This window comes from Homo sapiens, chromosome 8 (genome assembly GCF_000001405.40).
Source record: "Homo sapiens chromosome 8, GRCh38.p14 Primary Assembly".
Taxonomy (NCBI): domain Eukaryota; kingdom Metazoa; phylum Chordata; class Mammalia; order Primates; family Hominidae; genus Homo; species Homo sapiens.
The window spans coordinates 90782676-90797618 of record NC_000008.11 but is presented as its reverse complement, the minus strand read 5'-3'; the positions used below and the strand labels follow the sequence as shown (position 1 = coordinate 90797618).

The 14943-nt window shown below is 41.5% G+C and overlaps 1 protein-coding gene and 1 long non-coding RNA gene across 3 annotated transcripts in view; one reads left to right on the top strand and one right to left on the bottom strand.

The window, feature by feature from the left end:
- NECAB1 (N-terminal EF-hand calcium binding protein 1) overlaps positions 1–5844 on the bottom strand; it is a 167619-nt gene extending 161775 nt beyond the window's left edge. For both annotated transcript variants that reach the window (NM_022351.5, XM_011517213.3), the window contains exon 1: positions 5634–5844. In NM_022351.5, the coding sequence (NP_071746.1) occupies positions 5634–5732 (99 nt within the window). In that variant the 5' untranslated portion in view covers positions 5733–5844. The remainder of the gene's footprint in view (positions 1–5633) is intronic.
- The window catches only part of LOC105375633 (uncharacterized), a 101755-nt gene continuing 92262 nt past the window's right edge, over positions 5451–14943 (top strand). Inside the window, exon 1 of the long non-coding RNA XR_928389.4 lies at positions 5451–6181. This is a non-coding gene — a long non-coding RNA (uncharacterized LOC105375633). The remainder of the gene's footprint in view (positions 6182–14943) is intronic.

Here is a 14943-nt window from a genome sequence, read left to right as displayed (position 1 = left end):
ACAAACTTTAATTGCTTGGAAGGGGCCCTTGAGGATGACTTTTTTTCCCTAAGTAACTTGTAGTTATAGTTAAATAACCAGAGCTACTCTTATATTTAGATCGTCACTTCTTGCTGGCCAGCTTGAAACATGAGCAATCATTTTTATTCCCAAGTTGTCTGTTTTACTGCTTTCTACTATAAAAACATTATCCTCCTTTCATTCTGCCAACTTCACGGAAATGAGGTATAGATAAATCTAATCATTGCCACAATGTGTTTTAAGATACTAGTATTACTATTAAAGATCTCACCAATGAAACTGTTCCAGCAACAGGTAGGTATCACCTAGACTCGCATGCAGAAGAAGATGGTCCTCCTTTTTTACTAAATTGATGTAATTACTGCAGGAGGACTGCTTTCAATAGTAAGAGTTATGCTTAAAGCAAAATGAGACCCAGATTATTTTTCCTCCAGAGTTAATTGCTAGAGGGGATTTTGAGGATTCATTCCCTTATCACAACCAGCTTCTTCCTGTCCTCTGCAACCATGGAGCCCCAGCTGAGAGTCAGGGAGACATGAAACGCATCCTATTTCTTACTTTTGGTTCATTCTAAGATTCTATTTCAAGCTGTATTTTGTCCTCAGGATTTTGAAGTAACTAGAATAGAATAATCACACACCACAGAGTTGGACCCAGGACTTCTGTTCATTTCATTTCATAAAGAACAATCTCAAGTAGCATTTAGCCTCTGAAAGATGAAATAAAAACAGCAGCTTTTGTTATTAAGACAGTTCTTATAATTAAATATGAACAGAACTGTCTCTGCTGCAAATTTTGCCTCTGATCCCACAGACTAATAAAAAATGTACTCCGGATGAGAATCAAGTTCATTACGTTATGGTACCAGAATAATCTGTGTCAGCCGATCTTAAGGTTGCTACCACTGGATAGATGGTAAATAAATTTAAATATTATGGTCAGGCTTAAAATTTGAAGACAGGCAATACTGTGTTTTCGCTACAATTCAAAGATTATCAAATAGATTCCTTTATTTCAAAAATATTCTTTGATGGCCTCAACTAAAATTCCTTATTCATCACTTTAAGTTATTGAAGGCAGGTGTTAAAATGTAAATGTTATCTTTGAAACATTAAAAGATGGACACAATCATAATTTACTGAACTAATATTTCTAAGTGCCTCCTACCATGAATCAGGTTAAGATTTGATAATGAGGTGAAATAGTCCCTTGGTAGATTCCTGAGAAACTAGAATATAAGACAGGGACTCAGGACTAATCCAGAACATGGAGTCCCACCACACAGGGTCGGCAGGAGTCTCTCCCATTAGAATGCCTGGTGTTGCCCAGGTGTCGCAATCATTAGACTGCCTGGGGTCAGATGGGAGTCTCTCCCATTACCAGGGTGGGTGGGCCCAGACTTCCAGCAGGTAGTTTTACTACCAGGCCACTGGTTGCCCTGAAACTGGATAAGGGGAAGCAGGCACTGAAAGATGGATGGAGAGAAGGAATCAGTGCACATATTTTCATCTTCTCAATTTTGCCTAGGGTAGGCCCAGTGTGGGAAAACAATTTTTAATGTATGATAACAGTAAGACTAAGTGTATTTTTAAATACTTTTTTAAAAATTTTTTAAGTTCCGGGGTACATGTACAGGATGTGCAGGGTTGTTACATAGGTAAACGTGTGCTATGGTGGTTTGCTGCACCTATCAATCCATCACCTAGGTATTAAGCCCAGCATGCATTAAATTTTTTTTTCCTAATTTCTGCTGTTTCCTATAACTACAAGAGTGACATTTGCCTTGCCAATGAGGGTAGACAATGATGGGGTTAACTGCCATCCTCTGAACTGGACAATCTCACTCAAATGAGCAAGTGTGTGTGTGTGTGTGTGTGTGTGTGTGTGTGAGAGAGATGAGGTGAGATGGGAGGTGTGTGGCTATAACAGAGTTCAGTCACAGAACCATTGCATCTGGAAGACTCATTCGGCTTCGACATTCCTCTGTGCATCTCACACATCATACAAATGAGCATATATGGGGCTTCAGAATTAAGTGTCCTTGTGAAAAGAAACTATTTCTTGTTTTCACCAAGTTCCTGACCATCTATGCTCTGTATCTTGCATTCAGAGTGTACATGAGTGTGCATGCTTAGACGAAGGAAGGAAGGGAAGACAAGCAGTAAAGTCATTCATCCCCCTCACAACTTTCCAGCCTCTTTCCCTCTTTAGCAGTGAAGTGGGGAACAGTCACTTCCCTTCCAGTTAAAAATCAAAGGAAAACTGATGGGAAAGGAAAGTGGCATTGGGTGGATGAAGTTGCTACTAATTTCGTTTGGGAATTTCTCTTGCTTTTGGGGATGAGTTGAAGGTTTGTTTTTCTCCCTTTTCACAGTAGCGGAGTTGATTAATGTAATGACTCAAAAGAGGAGACACATGCTACATAGACTAGTATTCCAAACTAGAGTTCCTCTTCTGTTAACTGGATTGCAGCAACTGGGGAAATGATAGTCCATTGGTGTAAAAGGAAAAGCAATAGTAATCCCTGTGGTCCTATGTGTTGCCAGGACCCAGTTGAGTCCCTCTCCTGTGGCTGGCAGGCATGCCATATGCAAATGCTTGCTCCAGCCTCAATGCACTGGCATACCTTGGCACCAGTGCTAGGTTTTCTAAGCCTCCCATCAGTATTCAAGAGTATTTATGATGAACCGATACTTAATTCTGTCATATTCTAGCAAGACAATTCTATAAATTAGATTCATGAAGAAATAGTCCCTGCATCAGTTTGTGGATTTAGCTACTGTTACTGTTATTTAATACACTCAGTGTGCAGCACTGAAATAACCATAATACTTCAAATTTATGCAATACTTTTTGCTTTGTTTCCATTTTCCCTTATTTCATACTCACAACAGCCTAAGGAAGTATCATAGTGATTACTATTGCTGATTTGGAGAGGATACTGAAGGAAAAGCCAACAGTTGTGGCAAATCTATCTCTGATTTTCTTGTTAAAATCTGTCTCTAGTTTCCAACCAGCTGGTCATGTATCATGTCATTAATAGTGTTCTCAGTAGCAGTTTACATCATTTCTTAAATGATTGATTATTCCAGTGACATTGCAATAAAAAGCACTGCAAATCAAAGTTTTCCTCAAATTTGGAAATTGTCTGTTTGATACAGAAGACACACAGAAAATTACCTGTTCCAGTTTGGAACAGGTAATATCTATCACCTATGTATTATAATATGAAGATAATTTTAAAAGTAATCTTTCTTGCTAGTGCCATAGAATATATTAAATCAAATAAATAAAGTGATGCATGTATATTTTATATTTTATTTTGCTAAAAGTGGTATGATCCAGAAATGAATAATTCACAAATCCCTAAGTAACAAATCATTTTTCATATCACATATTTCACCAGTGTTAGATTTTTCACAAAATAACTCAAAGAAAAGTGTAAACAAAATCTTTTCCATTTGACACAAAATCCAATGGCAGGTTTTTTTTGTAGACTCTAGCATTTTACCGACAAACAAGCATGTCAACACCTCTCATAGGGAATCAGTTTCCTATTTTTATTTTTAAATCTCTGAAATATAAAAGGCAAGACCACCCTATTCACAGACTACAAGTTCCTTTAGTACAGGGACCTGATGCTATTTGTTTACAGACTTGGAAACAATCATGCATACATAATAAAAAATGAAATTTTAATTTTCTCTTCGAAAACATTGCAGTTGAACACTTAAGCAATGGCTGGTGTATGAGTCAGGAGGATGACTTTCCATTTGTGTAGTTTTAATCCATTCATCTCCACACTATCACCGGGGTTTGTTAAGTGCTTTTTAAAAAGCACAGGGAAGCACTTGATCTCAATGGGGGACAGAGTGAAGATCAGGTCAGAATGAATGGAGGCCCCACTTGTCCCCTTTGAATCAACTCCATGGCCCCTTAATTGTCAGCCTCATAACTGACATGATTTCCAGGGGCCCTGACTTTTCAGGCATGTTGTGGTGCCCTTCTCTTTTCTCAGCTTACCTCCTCAAGTGCTTTATGGCCCTGAACAGCAAAACTTGAATAAGATCAGCCCGTTAAGCCATGAGCACCAATAATACCATCTGACTGACCCAAGCCAGGCAGAGATAAATGCTCATGAAGGATAAGGTACTTAACCACCTGATTGGGTGGCTGAATAGGAATGACCACACCTGAGATTTGGTGGGAAGGAGATGACCAGCCCAGAATGCCTGGATCACCAATTGGAGCCACCAGGTGATAAAGGGTGAAGGCTGCCAGTACACACAGTTGAACCTCACTTCTATCATTTGCCTTACAACAGTTTGAATTATTGATAGGAGTTTCTTTCCCTAGAATTAAAAAGAATTCTAGCCAATCCATTCAAAATAAACTTGGGAGAGCGCCTCACATCCTCCTATCCTCTTTATCTCTGCCTCACCATTATGATACTAATTGATTTCCTCATATTTTCATCTCTCCACAAACAAATGTATCTGGCTTCTGGCCCATCTCCCACTCATTTTGACTTTAATAAGAAAAGATAACTCAGAGAAGGGTAAAGGACAGAGCACGTAGCACTCCTCCATGTCCTTTGACATTTTCTATCATGCCTAAACAAGAAGCAGACAGAATTGTCCCCACTGAGATAGACACGACCTCCGGCAACAGCATGAATGTGACAACTGAGGGGCTGGGAGAGCCTGGAGCCCGGCAAGCAGCTGAGAGAAACCCCAAAGCAGAGAGAAGAGATAGGCAACAGACGGAAAAATAGAGAAAACAGAAACAGCAGGCAGGAGAGGAAAACAAAATTGAGAAATAAATAAGAAATAAAAGTGCTGTAAAGATAGAAACCACACCATACGGGAAAAAGAAACAGCACAGAAGGAAAAGAAAGGATGTAATCAGATCAGAGTAATGAAGGCAGGCAGTCGATACCGAAGTGAGAAATTGGACCAAAGGGAAAATAGTCAAAAGCTAGAATTCATGGAGGTGACAGTAGTAATTAGAACTTGGAGAGAAGGAGAATATCAGGGAAGAAAAAGGGAAAATAGAAGAGGTGGCAGTGACAAAAAGAATCATTATGAAAATGATATTTCCCACCGCTGTAAAAAGAAAAACAAATATGCTCAAAGTAATTGTTTTCCGAGGGGGTCTGGGGGAGGATAACGAGGGCATCTCAATCGCTGCTGCTTCCCTGGCTGGGTTGCTTGAGAGCATCCACGAGTGTGAAGGCTGCGAATAGGGCGCGTTAGAGAGATGAGTTGGGACACTGTCCCCACCTCACCCCCCACACCTTGTGCCTCTTTAAAATGTCCTATGCACTCAAATGTTGTCTGTTGTATTTGCAATAGTGTCTCTACGAAACCCAGCCTGTTGGAAAATCTAACTTTTGCAGTTTTCTTAAGGGTGTTAAGCCACAAGCTGCAGGTCTGGGACAGCCCTAGCTGCAAGTTAAGGGACAGTCGTTCCTCCTGCATTTGCATCGGTAGTTCTCGCCTGTGTTCTGGGGACAAAGCATTGGCTGGTCAGCACCTGAGCCGAACCCCTTCCTTTCGGGGAAAAGAAAGGTGCTGGGAAGCAACCGCCCAGCTCCCACCATCTGTACTTACGTCGAGGAAGATCGACATGCCCTTGGACAGGTGCAGAGCAGAGCTGAGCTCCTCCGAGGAGTTGTTGGAGGACGGCGATGTCTCCTGGGAATCTTCCATCCTCGGGAGCCCTGACGGCCTCAGGCGGAGCGGGGCTAGGCGGACGCACCGGCTCTGGCAAGGGCGCGGCCGCAGCTGCTGCTTCGCCGCCGCCGGGCTCTGGATCCGGGAGGGTGTTCGCTCCCGCGCGCGCCTCCCTCCGCGCTCTCCGCGCTCTCCGCGCTCGGTGTCCCCCCCTCCCTCCTCCGGCCTCTGCGCTCCCACGCGCTCCAACTCTCGCCTCCTCCTTCCCGTAGTTGACGGCGTCTGGATCCATGTCATCCCCGCACGTAGCAACGCGCGGAGGGGAGCGGGCTCTGCCCCCGGCACGGCCATCGGCCACGGCTGGAGATAGCCTGGGGACCCCTACCAGCCCCACGACGGCCCCAAGTGCAGGGATGGAGGAGGGCGTCCGGACAGAGAGAAGGGACGAATGGCAGGGCGTTTGTCCTGAGCAGCCAAAGCGCAAGGTAAGGACGCCCCCAGCCTCACCTGAGTGGATGCCATAAATAGGGAGGAACTCAGAGAGGTTCTACCTACTCTGCTTTTGGTCCCAGTGGCCTGTCTGCCCGACCTTCCCCAAAGGCGGGGGCAGGGTTCACGAATACCAGCAATCGAGGAGCAGCTGGTTTGGTGTAGGGATTAAGCCATTCGGTGTTATCTTGCGCTCGAAGGACTTAACCTGTAAGCCTCACTTTTCCTCATCAGTAAAATGGTTACACCGGTCTCACCCCAGAGGGTTCTGAGGCTTACCTATGGCAGTGCTGCTGACAAAGGCGGTGCTATGAACTCTGCCTAGAGTAGGCTTCGAAACGTTTGCTATGGGGCAAGGATTGTTAGGTAATGTTCAAATATGAAGTTTCCCAAAGTCACAAGACGAAGTCCTTATCTGTGTTTAAGCATTTAAACCAGGGTAATTATTCAATATTTGACGGCTTCTGCGAAGGCTGTAAAAATAGGAAACTGACCACACCTTTCATCAGGAGAGAGATCCAGTTTATTGGGCATCTAAAATGTGTATGTGTTGGTTACAAACTTGAGCTATCTGGGAGCGAGATAAGGCAAAAAAGAGGGAACCTTGTCTAAACAAGACTCTGCCTCTACCAGTGAGAACGGGTGAGGAGGATCCAGATCTCCATTTTGTGGCCTTTGGAGAAAAGTAAACATATTCTTCCTATAAGACAGGCCCACACACAACCAAAATGCTGATCAACATGTGAGTGTCTTAAAGGCATGTAAAACATGCTAGGGGTTTCTCAGGAGAGACAGGTTACACTCTGGCTGGGGGGACCAATAAAAGCTTGATGAAAGAAGCGGTATATGAAATGGACCTTAAAAATCAGTGGATACTCCATGCTTGATAGAAATAGAAGGAAAACACTTCCAGGCAGAAGGAACAGCGTAAGCAAAGCATGGCACCAGGAAAGCACGTGGAAGCTGGAAGTAGTCCACTGGGGATTCCTATAAACATACAGAATCCCAGATCCTACCTGGGCTTTCCAAATCCCAATACTAAAGTACTGTCTAGTCCAGAAATCCAAGTCCCCCTCACCCTAATGATTCATACACAGTTGCTATGTAGTAGGCTCAGGACTAGGGTGTGGCAAGTGGGGCCACTTGAGCACAGAATGTAAGGAGGCACTTGCTCTCAATCTCTATCCTGTGCTTGCATGATCCTGAGAATGATTTTCTTAAATTTTGCACCCTAGGTGTCTTGTTCACTTCACCCAAGTCCCACTGCTCCTTTGTAGATGGGTGCTTACAAAAAAAAAAAATGAATCCAGTTGTTCTCAACGCTGCCTGTACATTGGAATCACCTGGGGTGTGTGGTAACTTTAAAATGTGCCCACAAATTCATTGACATTCTTCCTATAGAGAAGTGGGTCCCCTCCCCTTAAATCTGAAAGATTGTGACTGCTACAATGAATGAAATGGAACAGAAGTGTTGCTATGTGCTTTCCGAGGGTAGGGGCATAAAAGCCTTTGCAATTCCACTTTTTACAGTGGATTTGCTCCTGGATTCTTGAACTTCCGTATAGGAAGTTTTTCTACCTTAAGCCACCATGCTTTGAGGAAGCCCAAGGTATATGGAAAGGCAAGTGTAGACACCTGGCTTACAGGTATAGCTAAGCAGAGCCTTTGCATTATCCCAGCCTCAGCAGCAGAAATGTCAATGAGGAAGCCTGCAAATGACTCCAGCTCCCAGCTCTTGCAGACATCCCTAGCCATGTGAGTTGTCCCAGCCAAAACCCCAGGCATCATGGAGTAAAGGCACACTACCAGTGCTGTGCTGTGTCAGAACAGTTGGACCACAGAATTGGGAACATAATAAAATGTATACCGTTTCATACAAATAAGTGTTGAGGTGGTTGGATTTGTAACAATAGATAACCAAAATAAGGAGCTAACCCTCCCTGCACAAACACACACACACACAAACCAAACTGATGCCTGTGCTTCATCCTCAAATTCACTTTCAATTAGTATGCGGTGGGCCCAGTGGATTAATGTTTGTTTGTTTGAAGATTTCCATGTGATTCTGATGTGCAGCAAGGATTAAGAATCACCAAACTTAACTGTGCTGTACATACAGTACAGGAAAAAAGTAGAATAAAATCTCAGAAAATAGGCAGAGGCTATAGGATGAAAATCTGTGAAGCCCGGGGATAGAACTCTGGACTTAATTAGGTAGAGAGTTAGAGACATTAAACTTAATCAGGGGTGAGATATTGATTGGAGCTGTGCTTTAGGAATATTCATCTGACATCTTTATGTGCATTTTCCTAATTAACTGCAAATTTCCTTACCTGAACAGTGAGAATAGACCCTTCTCTTTGACAACTGTTCATCAAAATAGATACAAAATCATTTAAAAAAAAAACATACTGGTCAACCCATCAGATAGACACAGGTCATTCAAATCACTGAAGGAGAAAAACCACGAGAAGGAGGGGGGCTGTCAACCATTAACATCAAGTTACTGAATTTATCAAAATAACATGTTGTTTATTCCTGCCATTGGATGAAGAATGGAATAGATTTTTCTGCAACAAGTGCAGTTTAAGTCTGACCCCTCTAACCCAAGTTGTGCGGGTCCCTCAGCCCTCAAATTCAACCACACAAGTGATAATATTTTTATGCCAATCCCATGGTAACAAGAATAGTTAATAAAGGAGACTTTCTCTGATTATAAATGAAGAACAGGAGAATAATCAGCAGTCATCATTCAAAACCAGGAAGCTGTTTGTAACACTTTAGTTACAAACACTTCAGTTACAGGAAGCTGTTTGTAACACTTTACTGACAATGAATGACATTTTCTGTACCTGTGGATTTGCTTATTTCCTCTAATGGTCTATCAAGGAGAAACATAAATTATTAAGCAATCAACCGATCATTATTTATTTTTATGATTCCTATGTGAACACAGGAATACATTCTGCTGTAACTGACTTCTCTTTTTAATGGAAATGTAATGTTCACAGAGGCTGTAGTAGAAAAAATGGCAATTAGATTCACATTCACAGACAAATTCAATAGGCTCTACGAAGTGGCAACCAAACATATTTTTATAGTTTTCTTTTTATCTAGATGGCATGCATTTTTGAAAGCAGTTTTCACACATTTTCGTGAAACACACATGCCTCACTGCTGTGCATAGTATCAGTCACAAACAGCAGACAACCGACTTGAGGGAGGAAATGCAACTTCTTTGTAGCAAGGGCCTAAAAAAAATAGAAATGTAATTCCAGATTCCAGCTCTCAGGCTTCCTATGATAAGACTTTGACGTGAAGATATTTCTAGCATTTCAGGAGATGATAGCTGTGTGGGAATATATTGTATTTCAATCCATCTCTGCCTTGTAGAAGAACTATTATCTAAACCATTTCAGACAGCTGGGAATCTATCTTATTTATATCTTAAATTCTAGGGAAGGTTATCCTTCCCTTTTGAGTGATGACTCAGAATCCTTTCAGTCAGGTTAGTGGACATTTTTGTTGCCTTGGCAGCTTAGGATCCAAATCCCCTTCCGCTTTAAGTGCCTATCCCCATGGTGTGTTTCCTGACTGGGGGCAGAACTCGCCCCTTCTGAAGGAAAGAAAGGAGATCCTCTCCCTCTTCTCTGGTAGCTGGAGCACAGGCTGAGAGCTAGGCTCAGCTGATAGGACACTTCACTTGTGTGTTTAAACCTGAATCAAGGGATGTGCGGGGAAGTTTATTAATGGCAGTAGACACTCACAGTGTAGTGTTGAGTGTGGCCACAGTGCCAGGGGAGCCCTGAGGATGAATTAATCAAATGGATAATGGCACTCTGTGATTTCAGCAGCCCTGTCCTCCAATCTTGATCTCGAGGCTTTCTGCCGACTTCCTGAGAGACCTAGTATCCTTCCAAAACTTTCTTTTCTGTTTTACCTTAGTCAAAGTTAGTTTTTTATGTTTGGATTCTGACAGATAAATTCAATTTAAATTTCTAGTGTTAAAGAAGGCCATAGTTAAGTCATTGGAAATAGCTGTTTAAAACATTTAATTATCTTCAGACATTTATTGATTGCTTGCTTCAATCCAGGCAACTGACAGGCAAGCTGGGGAAATGATAAAAAGGACTGGCCTTGCCTTTGCAGAACATACACAACTTAAGGAAACACTATTTTAATAGATAATTTTAATGCAGTGAGACAAGAGTAACACCAGATGTTTGTGGTGAAGGCTGAGGCAGGACAGAGAAAGAGACTTCTCCCCATAAGTGCCTATTCTGTGTGATCGTTTATCTAACTGAAGAGGGCAAAATTAGGACTCAGGAGTAGTAAGTGCCATGGGCCAAAATTATTAACTAATAATGGTGATCTTCCTATGAACTATTTTACCCTGAGGATACATTTTTGTGTTATGCCACTGTGTGCTACTAGCTTACTCAACTTGGAGCTCTTCCATTTTGAAGCAAAAAAAGAAAAGAAATCCTCAGTGCCTAGTATCCTCCCTTAACCCTATGTGTTGTTACAATTAGTGTTCCCTGTCTTTATCTTTATCACGGGCAAAATTTCTCATCTGTAAAAGCAAGAATGAGGTATTGTGTGCAAAGAGCTTAGTAAACAGTAGGCACAAAGCAGGTATTCAACAGTTAGTCACTGTTTTCCCCACCAGCACCACTGCTTTGCAACCATGTTGTTAAGAACAGAGAGACTTCACATAAGTACCCGGTAGGGTATGGTGTCTGGAACATGCGGGTCTGGTGAGCAGTGGTGGTCACTGTGACCAAGACATTGCTGTCTATTGTCCTGGATGCTACAGATTTTCCCCTCCTTCTTGAAACTCTTGCTTTTTCTTTCTGATCATGTTCCTCCTACTCTCCTTAGTCTTCATGGAGTCTCCTAATTCTTCTAGCCTTCTAGATGTTACATTTTCTAAATTGTACCCTTGCTTCATCTGCTCCCTTCCCATTCTTGTTCTCTTTCTTTCCTCCATACACTGATATTACCCAAGCCCATGATTTTTCATGTGTAGGCTGATGACTATGTAGATTCATATTTCAGTCTGACTGGTACACGTCTTCTTATTAATGTTTCTTAGGCATTTTGAATTGAGCATGTCTAAAAAGGAATTCATCATTTTTTCCTAATTATTTTATGCTCCATCACTTGTTGAATAACATCAACCTTCACCAATTCATCCAAAAGAGAAACCCCAAAATAAACTTGGACTCCTTCCCTCACTGTCGTTCACCCTACCTCTATCCCATCCTCACCTCTCTCTAATCAGTTGCAAGGGTTATCTTTGGAATCACTCCTCTCCTCTCCATCTCTATCGCCACTATATGCGACCAAAAACCTGTCATCTCTCACCAGGAGCAGTGCCCAGCTGCCTGTCTGATTTCTCTGTCTCCAATCTGGCTCTCTTCTCATCTGTACTTTATCCTTTCCACAGAGTGAGGCTTCTAAAATGCACATCTAAGCATAGCACACACCTGCTTAAAATCCTTCAGAGGCTCACTGGAGCCTTTAAAGTAAAATCACCTTTTCTGTGTCATCTCTTGCCTTTCTCTCCCTGCCTCCTTCCCAGCCTCAACATTCTAGCCACACAGAATTACTGGAGTGGCATGGAGTGGTTGAGCAGGCAAATTATGATATTCAAAAGACTGGTGCTCGAAGCCCAGCCTAACTTCTTATTATCTTTGGTTAATACTAAGGTATGTTATTTAGCCTCTGTTTTTCTCAACTCTCAAATAGAAATAAGAATGGTACCTGCTGCACAGTGTTTAGATGAGAATTCAGTTAAATAATGTATGCAAGACACTTAGCATAGAAGCCTGCACAAAAATAATGACAGAAAAAAATGTGTCTATTTATCATTACTTGTAGATCCCTGGATGTGCACTGCTCTCCCATGCTCCTGGGCCGTTGCCCTTGGCATTATCTGCCTAGAATACATGCCTTTCTTAATCATGTGGCCCATCACTTAGTTGGCTTTTTAAGAGTCAGCTCAGACATCTTTTCCTCTGCAGAAGAGCCTCCTCCCTGCTCCAACCCCACCAATCCCCCGGGCTGGATTGGTTTCTCCTCCTTGTTTCCATAGCACTCTCTGCGTACCCCTTTCACGTCCTTTATCATATTTTTAAAAATGATTTTTTAGTATCTTCTCTGCCTGCCTGTCTGAACTCTGAGATGCTTCAGAGTAGGAACTCTATTTTTCATCTGTATCTTGTGCCTGGTATATTGCTACACACATGGTAGGCACTCGAATGTGGAATGAATGAACAAAGGAAGGAAAGGCTAAATCAATCTTATACTGAACATAGGCATCAGAGTAAGAAATTGAATGATGTTAGCTGCTTCCTTGTCATAACGTCCAATTACGTGAATTGATGATTAAAAAGATACAGAGACAAAGCAGAGAGGCCTCAAAATCTGGTGAAAGATTTATAAGCATCGGCTTCTAGAGGTGGGCAGATCTGAGGGCTGGGTCACCAAGTGGCAAATTAAGGATGTGCTTAGGGAAACAAAGCACAGGAACCCTGCCTCCCCCAAAAAGAAAGGTTAAACTTTGATGAATTAAGCTACCATGTCACAGTCAGAAAATGCAGAAAACAGCTATTATAATTTTGCATCTACTTTTTTTTTTAATTAAGGGAGATGTAGGGAGATGGAAGAGAGGATCTGGCAACTCTGTATAGAGGCCCTGAGGGTTTTGCCCAGGTCCTAAAAAAAAAGGCTTAATTTATTTCAGACTTGGCCTATTCACACTAATGGGGACATTTAGGAATCTCACAGTAAATTCCTAAAGATGTGTTACTAAACCCTGGGGAACCATTAGGAAGAAATGCAGTAGGGGCAGGATTTGGGAGCCGCATCCAACTTTGCCATGCCAGCCACTGAGCCATGGGCAAGTCACTTAACCTGTCCAAGCCCTAAGTTTATTTCTAAAGATCAGATAATAATAGCCACTTCATAAGACTTTTGTGAGATTCATGATAATGGATGAAGATTTTGCTGTGAATACTCTATGGGCAGCCCCTGTCTGTTTTGTTCATTGTGTCCCAGCTCTCAGTGAATACTAGTTGAATAAATCAGTAACCCGTGCACAGTAGGATCATCATTATGTGTACAGTATCATGAACTTTATTAACCTCAAAGAGATGTAAAGAGAGGCAGGTGCATGATACTGTGAATGCCATAATGTGCCCACTCTTCACCTTGGCAGGCATTGTGGTAGTCATGACTTTCTTCATAAGCCTGTAATTATCGAGAGGGTAAAAGCACCCAGTTTCACCCTGGTTTCCATTTTCTGCTCTTGGTTGCTCCTTTATATATGCAAAGGGGCTTCTGTAACGCATTTGACATTTCCCTTAAACTGTGCAAATTAGCTTCTAATTAGGGAAATACATATAAAACAGATGGACCACTTAACAATTTCTCTAAACAGAACCCCTGAACGCTAAAATACGTTACTTAGCTTGTGAGTGAGCCAAGGTTATTTGAAACAATTTTAAAGTGATTTTTGAACTAGATTTATTAAGCTGCTTTTCACTCCATGAGTTGGAAATTATATTCTTCTATTCATGCAGCTATTCTTCTAGTAGACATTTCAGAACCAACAACATAAACCTGTTATAACATTTTTTAAGAACAAAATTAGTCCTTGTGGATCGTAGTTCACCCTTGAGGTGAGTAGATTCAATCCTATGTAGGTACTATATAAAGTACAGCATTTTATTTACATCTTTGCAAACGTTTTCCAAAGAATCTACTTTACAAAAGCAATTTACAGACTGAATTACACTTGGGAAAATTCTCAGAGCTTAACAACAACAGTGACTTCCTCCTTCCAATTTCCTTCACAGCTTCAAATTTGTCTTTTGTTAAAAAAAAAAAAAAGGAGAAAGTTTTGGCTTAAAAGCATTAACACTTTAAAAATTAACAATACTGATCATTTCAAAAATAAAAAAAACTTCTAAGTAATCATGAAGCTCTGCTCCACTAGCCTTAACTGATACTTAATGTCTAAGAAGTTGGACTTTTAAAATTCTTTTAAGTGAACTGCCCATCTTCCAATTGGCAAACTTGCTTTAGGTTTAAAAGGATTCCCTAACGTCACTGGATTCTCTTTGATTGTTGCTACTAGAAGGCATTCTATTAATTGGCTCAGGCTGCCATAACAAAATACCACAGACTAGGGGGCTGAAAAAACAGAAATTAATTTTCTCACCATTCTGGAGGCTGGGAAGTCCTAGATCAAGGTGTCAGTTGATTTGGTTCCTGGCAGGGGCCCTCTTCCTCTTTTGTAAACAGTTATCTTCTTGCTATGCCTTTACATGACTTTTTCTATATGTGTGTGTGGAGAGAGAGCTTTTGTGTCTCTTCCTTTTCTTGGTAGGATACCAGCCTTATTGGATTAAACCTCCACCTTTGCAACCTCATTTTAACAAATTAATTTGGGTGGTGGGGTGGCGAAAAATCCAGTCCATAACAGTCATCATTATAATGTGAAATTTTGAGAGAGGGAGAGAATTAGGTCTTGCACAGGTTCTTTTACTTCTGAACTGTGTGTCCTTAGGTCAATCATTTGACCTAAGGACAGTTGTGAGGATTAAATGAAATGTCTGACCTCTGGCTCAAAATGATTGCTCAGTAAAGTTCATTATCATTAGTTTATGTAATAAGCAATTTTATAAATCTCTTTGTAATGCCTTGTGAATATGAGCAAGAGAACAGGACACGCTTTGATGAACACTTTGAT